General features: G+C 46.4%; 2 protein-coding genes across 7 annotated transcripts in view, besides 1 other annotated feature; both read left to right on the top strand.

Moving 5' to 3' along the window:
• On the top strand, positions 1,270 to 9,834 carry SLC23A3 (solute carrier family 23 member 3). 3 transcript variants are annotated; one of them, NM_001144889.2, is made up of 12 exons: positions 1,270 to 1,476; positions 1,621 to 1,778; positions 1,893 to 1,990; positions 2,197 to 2,270; positions 2,466 to 2,647; positions 2,981 to 3,104; positions 3,255 to 3,369; positions 5,877 to 6,130; positions 6,961 to 7,066; positions 7,744 to 7,911; positions 8,905 to 9,000; positions 9,095 to 9,834. In NM_001144889.2, the coding sequence occupies exons 1-12, from the start codon at positions 1,315 to 1,317 to the stop codon at positions 9,388 to 9,390; spliced, it is 1,833 nt and encodes a 610-aa protein (NP_001138361.1). In that variant the 5' UTR covers positions 1,270 to 1,314; the 3' UTR covers positions 9,391 to 9,834. The 3 variants fall into 3 exon arrangements, with proteins under 3 accessions (NP_001138361.1, NP_001138362.1, NP_653313.3); NM_001144890.2 differs by having other exon boundaries at positions 1,893 to 2,014; NM_144712.5 differs by lacking the exon at positions 5,877 to 6,130 and having other exon boundaries at positions 3,012 to 3,104; positions 3,321 to 3,369.
• Positions 10,484 to 19,111, top strand: part of NHEJ1 (non-homologous end joining factor 1) — a 91,459-nt gene continuing 82,831 nt past the window's right edge. For 3 of the 4 annotated variants that reach the window (NR_165304.1, NM_024782.3, NM_001377499.1), the window contains exons 1-3: positions 10,484 to 10,579; positions 12,937 to 13,113; positions 13,615 to 13,827. Coding sequence is in view for 3 of the 4 variants with exons in the window: in NM_024782.3 (NP_079058.1) it covers positions 12,937 to 13,113; positions 13,615 to 13,827 (390 nt within the window). In the remaining variant the exon portion in view is untranslated. Of the gene's footprint in view, positions 10,580 to 10,743; positions 10,790 to 12,936; positions 13,114 to 13,614; positions 13,828 to 19,111 lie in introns of those variants that run through there. The other variant, NM_001377498.1, reaches the window with a different exon arrangement.
• Positions 10,700 to 10,819: a silencer, noted in NCBI's record as "silent region_12340". NCBI's record gives its function as "represses an Ori minimal core promoter by ATAC-STARR-seq in GM12878 lymphoblastoid cells {active_cell/tissue: GM12878}" and the evidence as "EXISTENCE:reporter gene assay evidence [ECO:0000049][PMID:35858748]".

Raw genomic sequence — 19,111 nt, 5'->3', positions numbered from 1 at the left:
TTCATTGTCAAAAGGATTCAAGGGGATGGGGTGCTACTGGCATTTCGTCAACCTGGGCGGGATGCTAGACATCATGAAATGCTCAGACCTCCCGTACTGTGAAGAATTCCCAAGACAACTTTTGAATGACCAGCTTTATGTATATGAAAACCCTGTTTATCTGAGCCTAGAACTGTCTTTGCACATGTAAACGTGAAATAGCGTTTGTGCGTTTTGAAAAGACTCAGTTTGCTAGGAATTCATTCCCATGTAAATTAAGACGACTTTATTTTGCTTGGCACCTTAACCAAGAGTTTGTTTGCCATTTTGAAAATCGGGTTACCAACATCAGAGTCACCGATAAAGCACCAATATCAGCTGGCATTGCAGCTATTGCAACCACAGCAATTCTCATAGGGTGTGGGATTGGACTACTTCATTGTACTTTATTGTCTTCTGGTTTAGTTGTGCTTAAGCCTTCACGTAATGAAATACATGTTATTATAAATTTTATTCTTTACAGTGAGCATGTTTCAGGTAGTTGTGGTTGTCACATGTGATGTAGGATATATTGTCCACAAGTTTCTTTTTTTCTTTTTTCTTTTTTTTTTTGACACAGTCTCACTCTGTCACCCAGGCTGGAGTGCAGTGGCACGGTCTCAGCTCACTACAACCTCCGCCTTCTGGGTTCGAGCAATTCTTGTGCCTCAGCCTCCCGAGTAGGTGGGATTACAGGGATGTGCCACCACATCCAGCTAAGTTTTGTATTTTTAGTAGAGATGGTTTCACCATGTTGCCAGGCTGGTCTTGAACTCCTCACCTCAAGTGATACACCCAGTTCGGCCTCCCAAAGTGGTGTGATTACAGGCATGAGCCACCATACTGAGCCCACAAGTTTCATTTTGAAGTAGTCCAGGGGCCTTGGTTCTGAAAGGGGTGAGGACTGTGGATCAAATAGTGATAGTTTTAAATGGGAGGGAATAAAGTCTGCAAAATTTCCCCATATTATTTTGAAGAGCTCCTCTCCTCCCCACCCCTCCTATCCTACTTTCTACAGCCTGGTCTAGGGGCAGGAAATCTGGAAGAAGATTCTCGGGGGAGGGCCCCAGAACTCAGCTCCCCAGTTAATGGCTGATGGAATTTGCACAACAGCTGGGCAAAGGTGAAAGGGTGGTGCCCTGCCCCAAATTCCTTATACCTTTGCTCCGCTTCATTGACACCCCCACCCTCTCCCCACCTTCTCCCCACCCCAGGCTTCACCCAAACTCTGACCTCTTACTCTCTCTACTTAACTCTGGTCCCGGGCAGCCAAGACAAAGCGAAAGGCAAGGCAGCATGAGCCGATCACCCCTCAATCCCAGCCAACTCCGATCAGTGGGCTCCCAGGATGCCCTGGCCCCCTTGCCTCCACCTGCTCCCCAGAATCCCTCCACCCACTCTTGGGACCCTTTGTGTGGATCTCTGCCTTGGGGCCTCAGCTGTCTTCTGGCTCTGCAGGTAGGAGGCAGAGGTGCAGGAGTTGGTGCTGCCTGATGGTGTGTGTGGGGAAGTAGGTGTAGATGTGGCATGTGAAAGCCTCTGGAAGTATTGTAGGTATTTCCACTTCTCTGAAGACTGCCCTCCCCATTCCTCCACCTGCAGCATGTCTTGGTCATGGCTTCTCTGCTCTGTGTCTCCCACCTGCTCCTGCTTTGCAGTCTCTCCCCAGGAGGACTCTCTTACTCCCCTTCTCAGCTCCTGGCCTCCAGCTTCTTTTCATGTGGTATGTCTACCATCCTGCAAACTTGGATGGGCAGCAGGTGAGAGGAACCTCCCTGGAGAGAGGGGCAGAGTCCTGGAGGGTAGGAGAGGTTTGGGGGAGCCTTGCTGGCTGCCACATAGTCCCAGACCTGCTGGGGCTGCTGTTCCTACAGGCTGCCTCTTGTCCAGGCTCCATCCTTAGAGTTCCTTATCCCTGCTCTGGTGCTGACCAGCCAGAAGCTACCCCGGGCCATCCAGACACCTGGAAACTGTGAGCACAGAGCAAGGGCAAGGGGTAAGGGTGGGGCTGGGTTCTCATCTGAGCATGCAGGTGTAGGTGGGTGCAGAATTGAGATTGGGCAGTGGTGAGACTGTGACACTATAGGGGGCTTGGACCTGTGCCAGGAGTGGGACTGTAGAGCAATGGGTCTCCATTCCATTCACCCTTCTCTTCTCCATGCCCCAAACTTTTCCTAGCCTCCCTCATGCTGCACCTTTGTAGGGGACCTAGCTGCCATGGCCTGGGGCACTGGAACACTTCTCTCCAGGAGGTGGGTATCTGGAGGTGAGAAGGGATAAGGGTGGTGCCAGGCTTGGGGGGGGCTCTTGTTTCCATTATGCACAGACTGAGATGCTCCTGGAAAGGAGTTTTGGGAGGAACCCATACTTAGAATTAGGAAGACCAGGCTGAGGCCAGTTTGATTGAGCAGAATGTTTTCTCTCCATCCTCTCCTCTCTTCTACCAGGTGTCCGGGGCAGTGGTAGTATCTGGGCTGCTGCAGGGCATGATGGGGCTGCTGGGGAGTCCCGGCCACGTGTTCCCCCACTGTGGGCCCCTGGTGCTGGCTCCCAGCCTGGTTGTGGCAGGGCTCTCTGCCCACAGGGAGGTAGCCCAGTTCTGCTTCACACACTGGGGGTTGGCCTTGCTGTACGTGAGTCCTGAGAGGCGTGGGATGGTGCCCAGTGGGGGTGTATGGGGGGACTAGGGGAGGGCAGAACTGCTGGTCCTATCAGATTCAGCAGCGACTGGAATAGGGACATATTTTATATTTGGAATCCAAGACTTTTCCTTGATTCATCTGGTCTCCTTGAATTTCACACTGTTTTCTGCTGTCCCCCAAGGTCACTTCCTATTCCTTCCATGGGAGTTTCCTTCTCTGGTATCACCCCCCGCTCTTATGATATTCTGCCCACTCCCACCTCCTTTCCCATCCCTCAGGATACCCACTGCCTCTTGCTCCTAAAGCCTTCTGTCTCCTAGGGTTATCCTGCTCATGGTGGTCTGTTCTCAGCACCTGGGCTCCTGCCAGTTTCATGTGTGCCCCTGGAGGCGAGCTTCAACGTCATCAACTCACACTCCTCTCCCTGTCTTCCGGCTCCTTTCGGTATGTGTGGGTCTGGGCAGGGCAGTAGAGGTCAGAAGGGCTGGCCTGGAGTGCTCACTCCATCCCCTACCTTTTGGCTTCTGTCTACCCCTGCAAGGCTGGCTCAGAAGGTTCTGGGGGAGGAGTTCTTTTCTCAGTCTCGCCCCTCAGGTGCTGATCCCAGTGGCCTGTGTGTGGATTGTTTCTGCCTTTGTGGGATTCAGTGTTATCCCCCAGGAACTGTCTGCCCCCACCAAGGCACCATGGATTTGGCTGCCTCACCCAGGTAGGTTTTCTCCTAGTCCTCCATTCTCTTGTTCAAATAAAGGTATCTATTTGAACTCAAAGAACTTAATGGATTTTATTTCTGAGTTAAATCCTGTGTTTTTTGAAAACATATAGGAGAGAGAAATTATCAGTCTGAGAGACAGACAATGCTAGCCCCTCACTGTAGGTGTTTTTTTGTTTGTTTGTTTGAGACAGGGTCTCACTCTGTCATACAGGGTGGAGTGCATGGCGTGATCATGGCTCACGCAACCTCAACCTCCCAGGCCCAGGTGATCCTCCCACCTAAGCCTCCGGAGTAGCTGGGACTACAGGTGTGCTTTTTTTTTTTTTTTTTTTTTTGTAGAGACAGGGTTTCACCATGTTGCCCAGGCTGGTCTCAAACTCCTGGGCTCAAGTGATCTGCTTGATTAAATGCTGGGATTACAGGCATGAGCCACTGTGCCCCATCCCACTGCAGGTGTTTTATTTGGGTCAGTGTTAGGAGACAGACATCTGTTGTTTCTGTAACCCCCGATACTCACTACCAATACTCCTTACCCAATGAACACATTTATGTTACCAGCCCCTATGGGCATTTGACTTGGCAACCTATGTATAAAGATTGCTTTTGAGGCATTGTATGTGAAATTTGCTCATTCTTCAATTTATTTATTTATTTAATTTACTTTTTGGGACAGGGTCTTGCTGTGTTACCCAGGCTGAGAGCATTGATGCAAACATGGCTCACTGCAGCCTCAACCTCCTTGGCTCAAGCTATCCTTGTGCCTCAGCCCCACAAGTAGCTGGGATTACAAGCGTGCACCACCATGCCTGGCTAATTTTTGTGTTGTTTTGTAGAGACGGGATTTCGCCATGTTGTCCAGGCTGGTTGTTCATTAATTTAATAAGGATCTGTTGACTGCTGATTATGTGCTAGGCACATGGTAGAGGACATAGTGATGAACATGACAGAAACAGTACTTGCCTTCAGGGAGCTTACAGTCTATTGGGGAATACAGATACTAATTAAAGAGTCACCCGAGGAAATATAAAATTGCCATTGTGGGAAGTGTAACCAAAGGGAGATACATTGTGTCCTAAGAGCTTATAATGGAGGCCAGGCACAGTGGCTCACACCTATAATCCCAGCACTTTGGGAGGCAGAAGCAGGAAGACTGCTTGAGGCAAGGATTTCGAGAGCAGCCTGGGTAATAAAGCAAGACTCCACTCTACAAAACATAAAAAAATTAGCTGGGCCTAGTGGCACATGCTTGTAGGCCTAGCTACTCAGGAGACTGAGGCAGGAGGATCACTTGAGCCCAGGAGTTGGAGGCTGCGGTGTGCTATGATTGCACCACTGCATTCTAGCCCAGGCGACAGAGTGAGACCTTGTTTATAAAAATAAAATAAAATAAATTAAAATAAAATAAATAAAATAAAATAAAATAAAATAGCCAGGCACCATGGCTCACACCTGAAATTCCAGCACTTTGGGAGGCTGAGGTGGGAGGATTGCTTGAGCTCAGGAGTTAGAGACCAGCCTGGGCAACATAGTGAGACCTCGTCTCTATTAACAGTATAAAAAATTAGCCAGATATGGTGGCATGCACCTTTAGTCCCAGTTACTTCAGAGGCTAAGGTGGGAGGATCGCTTGAGCCCGAGAGATTGAGGCTGCAGTGAGCTATGATTGCATTACTGCACTTCAGCCTGGGTAACAGAGCAAGGACCTGTCTCAAAACAAACAAACAAACCAAAAAACTTATAATAGGGAATTTGAATTTATCAGGGAGGTCAGTAAATTTTTTTTTTTTTTTTGAAATGGAGTTTCACTCTTGTCGCCCAGGCTGGAGTGCAATGGTGTGATCTTGGCTAACTGCACCTCCGCCTTCCGGGTTCAAGTGATTCTCCTGCTTCCACCTCCCAAGTGGCTGGGATTACAGGCATGCACCACCATGCCTGGCTAATTTTGTATTTTTAGTAGAGATGGGGTTTCACCATGTTGGCCAGGCTGGTCACAAACTCCTGACCTCAGGTGAGCCACCTGCCTTGGCCTCCCAAAGTGCTGGGATTACAGGCGTGAGCTACTGCACCCCGCCTAAGTAAGGATATTCTTGAGGATGTGGCCACTGAGTTGAGATGGAAGAGATGAGTAGGAGCTAACTAGACAAAGGCAGGAGGGAAGCGCATTCTAGTTGCAGGAAACTGCATATGCAAAGGCCCTGTGGTGGCTGGGAGCACAGCATGTACAAAGGCCTACAACAAGGCCAGTGTGGCAGGAATGAAGGAAGTGAGGCAGAGTGTGCTGGGAGATAAGGCTGCAGAGAGAGGGAAGGGCCAGACCAAAGAGGACCTTGTAGACCATGGTAAAGGCATGGGTCTTTCTCCTTAGAGTTCAGTAGTTTTGTCCCAAGACATTGTCTTCAAAGACATTGAGGCATCTAGGATTCTTGTGGCACAGGCTGTTGGAGGCAGGGGGTACTCCTGACTTGAGTCTGGCCCCAAAGTGGCTTCTTCTCCCTCCCCAGGTGAGTGGAATTGGCCTTTGCTGACGCCCAGAGCTCTGGCTGCAGGCATCTCCATGGCCTTGGCAGCCTCCACCAGTTCCCTGGGCTGCTATGCCCTGTGTGGCCGGCTGCTGCATTTGCCTCCCCCACCTCCACATGCCTGCAGTCGAGGGCTGAGCCTGGAGGGGCTGGGCAGTGTGCTGGCCGGGCTGCTGGGAAGCCCCATGGGCACTGCATCCAGCTTCCCCAACGTGGGCAAAGTGGGTCTTATCCAGGTACGTGGACCTGGGATGGGAGTGGGGTAGGATGGAGCTAGAGGGGAAGAAGAAGGACAGGAACTTACACCGATTGATTGCCAGGTGTGCCTAGCACCTCACATCAACTATCTTACTTGGGGAGGTGCCTAAGATTAGACTTTGGGCTAAGAGAGTGGGGAAGTGAACAAATCACCACGGAACTCCTGTGCATGAGGCACTGTATCAAGGCTAGGGCAAAGAACCAGTCACATAAAGTTCTGCTCTCTTGGGGACTTCATAGAGGGAGAGGCAGACAGTTGAAGGAAAAAAGTATCTTTTTAAAAAAGTGGGCCAGGCATGGTGGCTCACACCTGTAATCCTAGCACGTGGGGAGGCTGAGGCAGGCAGATCACTTAGGCTAGGAATTCAAGACCAGCCTGGCCAACATGGTGAAACCCTGTCTCTACTAAAAATACAAAAATTAGCTGGGCATGGTGTTGTGCACCTATAATTCCAGCTACTCAGGAGGCTGAGGCAGGAGAATCGCTTGAGCCTGGGAGGCAGAGGTTGCTGTGAGCCGAGACCGCACCACTGCACTCCAGCCTGGGCGACAGAGCGAGACTCCATCTCAAAAAATTAAAAATTAAAAAAAGAAAAGTGAAGAAAATTTCAGAAGGCAATAAGTGCTATATAAAAAAATCAGGGTAGTGGGATGGAAAGGAGGCACGTTTAGATAGACTGGCCAGGAAGGCTTCTTGGAAGAGTAACATTTGAGCTGGGATCCAAATGATGAGAAGGAACCAGTAAGGCAAAGACCTGGGACAGTCTGAGGAAGTGGCTGTGTTTTCCAGTGTCTTTTCTTCATGCAGGCTGGATCTCAGCAAGTGGCTCACTTAGTGGGGCTACTCTGCGTGGGGCTTGGACTCTCCCCCAGGTTGGCTCAGCTCCTCACCACCATCCCACTGCCTGTTGTTGGTGAGTGGATGTATCAACAGGGCTGGTATTGAACTGCTACTCCCCAGTGTGGCCTGATCAGTTCTTTAGGATGGCACCCTTTCCTTCTAAATAGCTTTCCTGGATGGATGGGTGGATGGATGGATGGATGGATGGATATGAGCATGTGTCAGCCTCAATTTCTCAGCCCAACATTTTGGTCTTCTCTTGATTGGGCTTCTGGGCTTCCTGAAGAATCAGAAATCAGCCTCAGGCTGGGCGTGGTGGCCCACACCTGTAATCCCAGCACTTTGGGAGGCCCAGACAGGCAGATCACTTGAGGTCAGGAGTTCGAGATCAGCCTGGCCAACATGATGAAACCCTGTCTCTACTAAAAGTGCAAAAATTAGCTGGGCGTGGTGGCACATGCCTGTAATCCCAGCTACTCGGGAGGCTGAGGCAGGAGAAATCGCTTGAATCCGGGAGTAGGAAGCGGAGGTTGCAGTGAGCCGAGATTGCACCACTGCACTCCAGGCTGGGCGTTACAGTGAGACTTGCTCTCAAAAAAAAACCAAAAAAACAAAAAAACAAAAAAAACAAAAATCATTCTCTTGGGTTTTATTTGTTTCCCATTACAACCTGCTTGCCCTGCAATACTCCATGCTATGTGAGCCCCCTTGACTCCTCCTGACCCCCTTGATTTCTTCTGTATGAGACAGGTGGGGTGCTGGGGGTGACCCAGGCTGTGGTTTTGTCTGCTGGATTCTCCAGCTTCTACCTGGCTGACATAGACTCTGGGCGAAATATCTTCATTGTGGGCTTCTCCATCTTCATGGCCTTGCTGCTGCCAAGATGGTTTCGGGAAGCCCCAGTCCTGTTCAGCACAGGTAGGTGGAAGGGAAGAGGCGTTGCTCAGTAGCAGGAAAGCAAGTTGAGGCTTCAGGCTGCCCGGACTCCTGGCCCCACAGCCTTCTCTGGGCTTTGGTGTAAATACTTCATCCATTTGTTTAACAGATATTTATTGAGCACTATGCTAGCCATTTGGAATACAAAGATGCCTTCCGTTATTACAGCGTAGTACAAGAGATGAGATGTGTAGGAAAATAACAGGAAAGGTTCAGATAAAGAGCTACAGTGCTCAGTGGCAAGAGAGATAGCTTCTGTTTGAGGTGATCCAGTAACAGAGCTGGTCTTGAAGGATGGTAAGTTTTAAACATCTTTGGTGAGAAGAAGGTCATTCCTGATGGAGGAACCATCATTTATGCAAAGACACAGAAGTGGGAAGTCTTAGGATATGTCCTGAGAGCAGTAAATTGCTTAATTTGTCTCACCCAGTTCTCAACTGGGTGATTTTGCCCCCATGGGGACATTTGGCAATGTCTGGAGACATTTTTGGCTGTTACAAATGGAGGAAGAGGGAGTTGTTACTAGGGTTTAGTGGATAGAAAGATGCTGCTAAACATCCTACACTGTACAGGACATCCCCCCTGCACCACCACCCCCAACAAAGAATTATCTGGTCCAAGATGTCAGTAGGACTGAGGTTGAAAAACCCAGGATAGAGCATAGAGGGTAAAAAATGGGAGATGAGGTTGGGACTTAAATATTACGCTTTCTAGAGAAAGGGAACCTGGAATAGTCAAAGCATATATGGAGGGTGTGTGGATGATCAGAACACAGGGTGTTGAGCAGGAATCCTGTGGGAAAGGCCTGGATTTGGAAAGTGGAGAGTAGAAAGACAAAGGGTGAGAGGGATGAAATGACAATTCAGAAAGATCTGTCCTTAGTCCAAGGCTTAGGTTTAGGTCTGGGAGGGTAAGACTCCTGGGCTTGGATATAGGATCAGAGTTCCCTTCCTGCCTGGCCCCAACTCTTCATAGGCTGGAGCCCCTTGGATGTATTACTGCACTCACTGCTGACACAGCCCATCTTCCTGGCTGGACTCTCAGGCTTCCTACTAGAGAACACGATTCCTGGTAAGTTGAGGCTAGGCCCTAGCAGACTGGGGAGTGGCCAGGAAGCCATCCCTCCCTGGGATGGGCAATAGCCTGACAAACCTCTCTTTTGCAGGCACACAGCTTGAGCGAGGCCTAGGTCAAGGGCTACCATCTCCTTTCACTGCCCAAGAGGCTCGAATGCCTCAGAAGCCCAGGGAGAAGGCTGCTCAAGTGTACAGACTTCCTTTCCCCATCCAAAACCTCTGTCCCTGCATCCCCCAGCCTCTCCACTGCCTCTGCCCACTGCCTGAAGACCCTGGGGATGAGGAAGGAGGCTCCTCTGAGCCAGAAGAGATGGCAGACTTGCTGCCTGGCTCAGGGGAGCCATGCCCTGAATCTAGCAGAGAAGGGTTTAGGTCCCAGAAATGACCAGAACGCCTACTTCTGCCCTGGTTAATTTAGCCCTAACTCTCATCTGCTGGAGAGTCAGCTCCCAAACTGTTCTTTCTTGTAGGCAGAGGATATGTGTGTGTGTATTACATGGGACTGTCTAGAGGTTCCATTTCCCAATAGGGTGGGTTGCCTTTCCTTGTCTTAATTAGGCCTAACTGTTCCAGAGCAGAGGCCATGATTTAGTGGACCATGAATGATTGAGATTTTGCCTGTGTACTATCAATGCCACTTGAACCCCAGCATTCACTTTAATACTTACTGAGCATCTCCCATGTGCAAGGTCCTGGAACTACAGGGATAAGACAGGGTCCATGCCGTCTCAAGGCATTTACGGTTTAAAAAGACCTTTGTAATTACTAACGAAAATGCAAAGCAGAAAGCAGTCTGTAATAAAGATTAAAATAATGCCGTGGGAGCAAAGAGGAAGGGATAATGAATTCTGATTGGGGACAGTGGGAAAGGCTTTATGCAAGAAGCAATGAGGATGGCCTTGACAAATGAGGATTTTTGGTTTTGGAAAATGGATGCAGAGAAGTTTTCAGGTTCGGGGTCCAGCTTGAGCAAAGCCATGGGTTGTACAAAGTCCAAGATAGGTGAGGGGTTTCAAATTTCTCAGTAGTGAGGGAGTATAAGTACGGGGATGATGGAGAAATGAAGCAGGAGAGGTAAAGGATGAGGTCGGACTATGGGACTTATGCCTGGGAGACTCCTTCCTTCAACAACTCTAGTGCTGGTGGAGGACCTGAGAGATCATCTACAGAAGTTCAATCCCTTATTTTGTTAAAAAGAGACCGGATAGGTAGGGGAGGGAAGAGAAGTGACTCAAGTTTGACAAATCCAAACCTGGGCTCCCCTCTCCTGCGCCTCGCCCGCTATTCTTTCCACTCGGCCAGCGTGACTCCAAGACGCGCCACTACCCTTCTACTAGCCGGCTGCCCGGCCTCTCCTCCACTTACCCTGGCCACTGGGGCGCTCCTCTCATCAGTGTCCCAGGCCCAGAAGCCCCGCCCACGCCAGGCATAGGCCCCGCCCCTGTATCCCAAGACCCTGCCTCCTCTTGCGGTGGGGGGAAAGCGGCCTCTTACTCTAGGCCTTTCGGTTTGCGCGAGCGGGCAGGAAAGCGTGCGTGCGGCTAAGAGAGTGGGCGCTCTCGCGGCCGCTGACGGTAGGTGGAATCGCGTTCGAGTCCGGGCAGGAGCAAGCCAGCGAGGGGCTGCTCAGACGCTGCGGGTTGGCCCTGGCGCTGGCCTTTTCTCCCTGGAGGGAGCGCGCGCTGCCGGGGTCCAGGGCAGGCCTCCGGGGGAGGGGTGGGCGGGGCCGCGCGTGCGCAGTCCGCTGGCTGCTGCCCGGCGTGGATGGTAGGGCTCGAGTGAAGGTACTCGTTGGTCGCCTGTTTGGTGCGACGAAGCCGCTGGTGGCCGGCTTTGTTGCCCCTTGAAGCCGCGCCCCAGTGCAGCCAGTGCTGTAGAAATGGGAAGGCGGACAGCGAAGGCTGTTATAGCTGGGGCGGGTGGAAGCGGGACGCCTGGCGGCTCCTGGGGTGGGGCTATGGTTGTGGTGGGACCTAGGGTTCGCGCTGTCCCAGGGGGACCGGGCGGGGCCCAGCCGGGATGCTCTCTGGGCCTCTACTGCCCTCTGCAGGGCGTCGGAGGAACTGCCCAGAGGGGTCACTGCTGAGGAGCGGACTCGGTGCAGATAAAGGTTCTCAAGGGACCCCTCCGCCGGGATGCCGCTCAGCGCCCCTCCACTCAAGAGAAATAAACCCGTGAATCTCGTTAATGTGAATGTTAGAGGCAGCCTTGAAGGAAAAAAGAAAAGGATGAAGTGTAGAAGCTTCGGACGCAGAACGGGACGCGTGTGGTGGGAGCAGGCAGCCGGGGTCTGGTGCCCAATGTGTCAGGCCTTTTTATAGGGCCCGTTACTCCTGGCCACATTTTAAACTCCTCCCCCTTTACCCAACAGACAAACAAAACCCATCAATTTGAGGGTTCTGAGCTTCCGGGCTTTCCGAAGGAATGGGCTAGAATAGTAAACCCAATTTTGGCAACTGTTAAGAGTACACTGGGGAGTGCCTATAAGGGAGATGAAAGTGGCGACTTTATTCGCGTTTGTGACCTTTGGCATTGTGGAGCTCTTGTCCGGCTAGGACTAGCTTAATCATCCCATGACCACTTCTGTCCCCATAAGAGCAGCATGTGGGAAATGTGACGGAAACACCATCCTCCAAACACAAGGCTTTGAGGATGCCATAAAGAAAGATCACCACGTATATGTATATATATGCATATATATATATGCATATATATATGCATATATATATGCATATATATATGCATATATATATATGCATATATATATGCATATATATATAAAGTTATGTCACAAGTCACAAGGGCACACTTCAAAAGCTAGGGGAAATGACTGTGTTAATCAGACTTAATAAGGAATTTCATTATTTACATTCTAAATTTTTCCTTCCTGGTACTTCTGTTCATTTTATATTTGTAGACTGGAATAATGAAGGAAATTGACATATTTTTTTCTCCCCCACAGGAAAAACAATCACATTCTCTGTCAAGCAGCCGTAGTTCTGATTGTCTACTAGGTTAAGCCTACTACTTTAGCTGCTGAGATAGAAAAGTTGTTTTGCAGGGGTTCCAGGCTGGGCATGTTGTCATTGGTGGCAGTGCACTGGAGTGGGAATGTGGAGGATGAGTTAAGTGGAAGTTAATTCAGTCTTTACCTCTGTGATGTGCTCTGCCTTGTATTCATGATTTCCTAGTCATTCTGGTTTTTGTTGAAATGAAATTTAGGTCTTTTCTGTTGCTCCTGGACACAGGTTCTTAGCTCTTTTTTGTGTCATCGATCCCTGAGAGTTTGATGATAGCTGTAGACCTCTTCCCCCTCCCCATGCATATATGCGTGTACACATAACATTTTCATATAATTCTAGAGGATTCACATGCATTGACTCTAGATTAAGAACCTGTTTTAGGGATTTTTAAAAAAATCCTGAGAGCTTCCTAAACTTTGTTTTTAGATAATGATCAAATACTTCGAATTTCCTGGCCCTGACACTATGACTTATGATGTTTTATAAGACAAGAACTATTCCTTCTCTTCTAGTTCTGGGAAAGGATAGGAGTGACATATTTATTAGGAATGTGATAAAGATGGAACAAGAAGGGTTTAGGTTTCCACGTTATGTTATAGTATTAGAAAGCAGAAATACTAACAGCAATATGCTGAGGTTTAAACACTATGGAAGAAAGATTTTCTGTCCTCTAGGAATGTAATATGGGAAAAAAAAAACCCTCAAGATTTTAAATATACTTTTAGTGGCCAGGAGGTAGTAAAGTCAGTGCTCAGCTGGTTGTATACTGGGAGAACGTAAATCCATGCCTTCTATTTTATCAGGGAGGATTTTCATGAGATTTTAGTTGATACAGACTGGTTTGGGTGGTGCCCTCCCTAGGCCAGCATGACCCTGAGGCTCTTTACTAAATGAGGACTTTTTTGCAGATGGAAGAACTGGAGCAAGGCCTGTTGATGCAGCCATGGGCGTGGCTACAGCTTGCAGAGAACTCCCTCTTGGCCAAGGTTTTTATCACCAAGCAGGGCTATGCCTTGTTGGTTTCAGATCTTCAACAGGTGTGGCATGAACAGGTGGACACTAGTGTGGTCAGCCAGCGAGCCAAGGTAAGTATGAGGAGAAGTACTGCTGTGTCGGGGATGTGAACATCAACCAGCTTGCTGGCCTGTAGTTTCCCAAGGAAGGTTGAATCGGGTTGAGACAATTCCAGTTAATGTCCTGTACTTCTACCTGTACTTCTGCCTGGAATCTTTGTGTGTGTGTGTGTGTGTGTGTGTGTGTGTGTGTGTGTGTGTGTGTGAGAGAGAGAGAGAGAGAGAAAGAAAGTTAGTTTCCCTACCCTATGCATGATAATGAATATATTATTTGATCTAGATAGGCCTTTTGTGATTTAATCTTGCCCAAGGCAGAATTGTGAAGTAGGCCAATTGGTCTTTGTGACTCTCTTCTTTTTGTTTTCTTCTTTCCCCTTGTGATGTTTTTATCTTCTCTCCCCTTCCTCTCATGTCCATTGCCTTCGTGTTAACCAGGGCTTTCCTTTGCTGTTACTTATGAGGGAATTAGTTTCCTTTTAGCACCCTTACTCTGTACCACTGCTCTCTCTTTAGGAGCTGAACAAGCGGCTCACTGCTCCTCCTGCAGCTTTCCTCTGTCATTTGGATAATCTCCTTCGCCCATTGTTGAAGGACGCTGCTCACCCTAGCGAAGCTACCTTCTCCTGTGATTGTGTGGCAGATGCACTGATTCTACGGGTGCGAAGTGAGCTCTCTGGCCTCCCCTTCTATTGGAATTTCCACTGCATGCTAGCTAGTCCTTCCCTGGTAAGTGTAATTCGAATGTGGGGTTGGGGGAGGGATGCCAGTTGCTTTGAGAGGAAGCTTTAGGTGCTTTTATTTTTTTTGCAAACCTTGTTTGAAATTCTTCTCCAATCAGAAAACTTTCCTTGACTAAACAGAAGGCAAAAAGGATTCTTGACTGTTAAATCCTTTCCTTGCAAAAGGAGCAGAGTACTGAGTGTCTTTATTCATTAATTAATTTATTCAGCATTTTAAAAGCATCTACAATGGGCTAATTGTTGGTTATCCAGACCTAAAACAATATAGCCTCTTCCTGGAGTTCATAATCTAGTGAGAAGACAGACAAACAGGAAATTATGATAAAGTATGATAGGTTCTTTGAGGTAGACCCTGGATGGTTGAGGATTGGAGAAAACCTCTTTGAAGAGACTGTTACTGAGCTAAGTTTTGAAGATGAGTAGGAGAAAATAAATAGAAAAATCATTGTAGGCAAGAGATGTAGAGATGTGTAAGTGAGGAGCAAGTTCGGGAACTTCATGACTGCTGTGTAGATAGGAAGGCATGAGAAATGAGGGAGGCAGTGGATCTTGAAGGATTCTAATGAGTTTGGATTTTATCTCAAAGGCAACAGGATTCACTGAAAAACTTTAAACAGGAATTTAACATGATCCAATTCGTGGTTTATCAAGATTATTCTGGCAACAGAATAGAATATGTACCAGTGTTAGATACCTTTCTAAACATTATCTCATCATTTAATCCTCACAACTCTCCTTCAGGATAAGTACTGTTATCCTTGTTTTTCAGAGTAGAATACTGAGATTGAAAATAACTTGTCCAAAGCCATCAGCTTATGAATAAATGAGTTGGAATTTGAATCCCAGATTAGTCTGGTCCAAAGCCTCATTTTCAGAGACTAGGGGGATAATATCCTCTACTCACTCATAGCTTTATATTTCCCAGGAGATTTTATTAGAAATTAAGAGTGGACGTTAAAGACTAGTTTTCTGGAATAACAGACACAGTTTTAGTCAGTAGCACTTAGGGGACAGGGTCTTCTTTGGGAAGCCTAAAAGTATAGATTGTTAGCAGAGGGATCTGAAGACAAGAGGACATCATTTTTTTCTCTCTTCTTTAGTTTCCCACAGGGGATGTGATGCTTTGGCATCAATAGATGACTGGATAGAAAGACTTCTTGAGAAATTGTTTGCTGATGTTTATTTTATTTTATTTTATTTATTTTTTTTGAGACGGAGTTTCACTCTGTCGCCCAGGTTTGAGTGCAGTGGTGTGATCTCAGCTCACTGCAAGCTCCGCCTCCCGGGTTCATGCCACTCTCCTGCCTCAGCCTCCTGAGTAGCTGAGACTACAGGTGCCTGCCACCATGCCCGGCTAATTTTTTCTATTTTTTAGTAGAGACAGGTTTCACTGTGTTAGCCAGGATGGTCTCGATCTCCTGACCTCGTGATCCACCCACCTCGGCCTCCCAAAGTGCTGGGATTACAGGTGTGAGCCACCGCACCCGGCCTGATGCTTATTTTTATTTTAATTTTATTTTTTTTTGTTTTTTTTTGAGACGGAGTCTCGCTCTCGCCCAGGCTGGAGTGCAGTGGCGTGATCTCAGCTCACTACAAGCTCCGCCTCCTGGGTTCATGCCATTCTCCTGCCTCAGCGCCCCCCGTAGCTGGGACTACAGGCGCACACCACCACGCCCGGCTAATTTTTGTTGTATTTTTTAGTAGAGACAGGGTTTCATCGTGTTAGCCAGGATGGTCTCGATTTCCTGACCTCGTGATCCGCTCACCTCGGCCTCCCAAAGTGCTGGGATTAGAGGCGTGAGCCACTGCGCCCGGCCCTGATGTTTATTTTTGATCTGGAGCCCAGTAAAACTAGAACTGAGTGCTGAGAGAATTACTTATTCATTTATTAACTTCTAAGGTCTATCAACAGTACTTAGCATATACTCACATTTGTTTATTTTAAATTAATTTCTTGTGAACTTTTCCATCTTGCAAATAAAAATACATAAATAAAATTTAATAAATTTAAAAAATAAAATTAAAAAAATAAATAAAATTAAAAAAAATTTTTTGTAGAGATGGGGGGTCTCTCTGTGTTGACCAGGGTGGTCTCGAATTCCTCACCTCAAGCAATCCTCCTGCCTTGGCCTCCCAAGGTGTTGGGATTACAAGCAGGAGCCTGGCCCCATCCCATACTTTATTTCGTTTAAAACATTTCAACTTTCTAAGTAACACCAGGGGGCAGTGTTTCCTCAATAATGTTTGTTCTGGGACCAAACCATTTGGGCGGCCTTTGGGAATCCCTAGCAATAGCTAATCTCATTTTGCATTACATGGACCTAGAAATGCGGAATATGTAGTGTGATTGTGGAGACAGTTCTCCTTGGAGGCTGATGGGCTCTAATAGTTTCTTCTTTCAAAAGAATACAGTAAGGAACACTAATATAATGATATTACAATTATATAGTATATCTATATTATAGATTAATATATAAATATATGTAATATAATAATATATAATATATTAACATATATTATATGTTATATTAATCTATATTAATATAATATGTAATGGTATAATATAATGTATTATATATTATATAATATATATAATACAATATAATATAAAAGTATGTAAAGAAAAACTAGCTATTCTAGGCAAATTTCTCTAATTGGGGAACTACATTAAAGGAAAGAGACAACAGTGTTTAGGAAGGGATGAGTCTTGGTTTGCCATAGGAAGAAATTAGATTTGAGCAATTCATGAACAATTGTGCTTTAAGTTAAAATAAAATACTCATCATTAAAAGAAGAATGCCCTCCTAGGGAAACGCCTGAACCTGAGAGAGCTTTATATGGAAAAAGTTAGAGCCAGTGGACACGGGTAAGGATGTAGGTGGATACTATTTCAGGCTTGTGTGTATGTCTGTAAGGTCACACAGTCATAATTTTTGTTTGTAACTCATTCTTGTGATCGTTTTCATTTAATTTTTTTGAATGAGTAATTCTTGAAAAAGGCAAACATTTCAAACAGCATTTAAGTGTATACAGTGAAAAAATAGATCTTTCTACCCCGTTCCCTAGTCCCTCCTTTTCCTTTTGCAAAGCAACTACCAATATCAGCTTCTTGTGAATTCTTAAAGCTATATATGTATATACTGTATATATATCTTCATACGACCAAATATATATCTATGTATATGTGTATTTTTTGACAAATAGTATCATGCTGTACGCACTGTTTAGTACCTTCCTTTTTTCACTTAATTGTAGAACTTACCCACTGCTTCACTTGATGAGCCTTAAAAAAAAGAACTTAGAGATTATTCATATCAACACATTCAGAGGACCTGCCTTTGTGTTTTTTAATTGCAACATAGCATTGTATTTAATGAATGTATCATATATTTAATTGATCTGCTGTCAGTAGACACCTAAGTCTTTTGTTGTTGTATACAGTTACTATCCTTGTATTTACTTTTCCTGCATGTAAATGTGTGAGTAAATTCCCATAAGTGGAATGGCTGGGTCAAGGAATATTTGTATCTTTTAATCTTGCCACATAACATAATGCCAAATTGTCTTTCAGAGACATTATGCAGCTTAACTCCTTCCAGCTGTACAGGAAAGAGGAGAATACCTGTTCCTCATACTTCTCCAGCATAACATACTCACATTAACAAGCTAATGGTTTCTAAGTCTGCAAGGGTATTATGGAATATATTGGGTTTTGGGTCTCTGTTTGCTTGCTTGCTCTCTCTCTCTCTCTCCACCCCCCCCCCCTTTTCTTTCTTTTTCTTTTGAGATGAAGTCTCATCATAGTGCCCAGGTTGGTCTTGAATTCCTCAGCTCAAGTGATCCTCTCACTTTGGCTTCCCAAAGAGTTGGAATTATAGGCGTAAGCCTCCGTGCTTGGCCCCAGGTCTCTGGGTTCTAACACTGAGTCCATCTTCATTTAGGACAGACTTCATCTCTTACTCTTTCCTGTTGTCTGTTCTTTCTAATATCTAATATAATTCTTGATATTCCACATTTTAGCTTTCAGATTTGTGATATCTTTGGACATTTTATGATTCCTAGGAGCTATATCCAAAGGTTTCTTAGTGTAAGAAAGAGATAGGTTTTGGAACCAGCAGACTCGAATTTGTAACTCAACTCCACCTCTTTGAGACTACTTGTATTAATTTGGATAAGTACTGAATTTTTATGATTCAGTTTCTTCATCTGTAAAATAAATCAACCACAACCTTACTGTCTAGTCGTAAGGATTAAATAAAAGAACATATGTAATATTACTTATGTTTAGCATTATAGTGGACCTGTGAGGGCAAATATTTCAACTCCATAACTTTTCGTTTTAAAAGAGATGCTGGGGCCAGGCACAGTGGCTCACACCTGTAATCCTAACACTTTGGGAGGCCGAGGCGGGCGGATCACCTGAGGTCAGGAGTTCGAGACCAGCCTGGCCAACATAGCGAAACCCTATCTCTACTAAAAATACAAAAATTAGCCGGGCATGGTGGTGCATGCCTGTAATCTCAGCTGCTCAGGAGGCTGAGGTAAGAGAATTGCTTGAACCCGGGAGGTGGAGGTTGCAGTGAGCTGAGATTGCGCCATTGCACTCCAGCCTGGCTACAGCGAGACTCTCTCAAAATAAATAAATAAATAAATAAATAAATAAATAAAAATAAATAAATAAATGAAAGAGATCCCGGGGATGATGGCTCATGCCTGTAGTCCCACCAGTTTGGGAGGTCAAGACAGGAGGATTGCTTGAGACCAGGAGTTTGGGACCAGCCTGGGCAACACAGTGAAACCCATAGCTACAAAAAAATAAAAAAATAAAAAAAATAGGTGGGTGTGGTGGCATGTGCCTGTAGTCCTAGCTACTTGGAAGGCTGAAGTGGGAGAATCACTTGAGCCCAGGAGTTCAAGGCTGCAGTAAGCTGTGATTGTGCTACTGTGCTCCAGCCTTCACTGGATCTCCTGATATGATTCATCTTGATCTTTTTTGTTTATTTGTTTGTTTGTTTATGAGATGGGGGTCTTACTATGTTGCCCAGGCTGATCTTGAACTCCTGGGCCTAAGTGATTCTCCCGCTTTAGCCTCCAGCTTGATTCATCTTGAGATTGAGACCTATCATTCTGCTCCCCTGCTCATGACTTATGAACATTTCTGTGGAAAATCTGAAGACTTTGGAGAAAATTATAAATAGCTTTTCCTCGGAAAAAGATTAGCAACTCCTGTTTGTATATCTATTACACTTCCTAACCTCCTTAACTGTTGT

This window comes from Homo sapiens, chromosome 2 (assembly GCF_000001405.40).
Source record: "Homo sapiens chromosome 2, GRCh38.p14 Primary Assembly".
Taxonomy (NCBI): Eukaryota; Metazoa; Chordata; class Mammalia; order Primates; family Hominidae; genus Homo; species Homo sapiens.
This window is presented reverse-complemented; position numbering and strand designations above follow the sequence as displayed.

Excerpts from the sequence above, each read along its gene's own strand:
- SLC23A3 (NM_001144890.2), top strand. The coding sequence starts at position 1,315 with ATGAGCCGATCACCCCTCAATCCCAGCCAACTCCGATCAGTGGGCTCC. Across the intron at positions 2,271-2,465 it reads GGAACACTTCTCTCCAGGAG|GTGTCCGGGGCAGTGGTAGT; the intron begins GTGGGTATCTGG and ends CTCTTCTACCAG. Across the intron at positions 6,131-6,960 it reads GCAAAGTGGGTCTTATCCAG|GCTGGATCTCAGCAAGTGGC; the intron begins GTACGTGGACCT and ends TTCTTCATGCAG.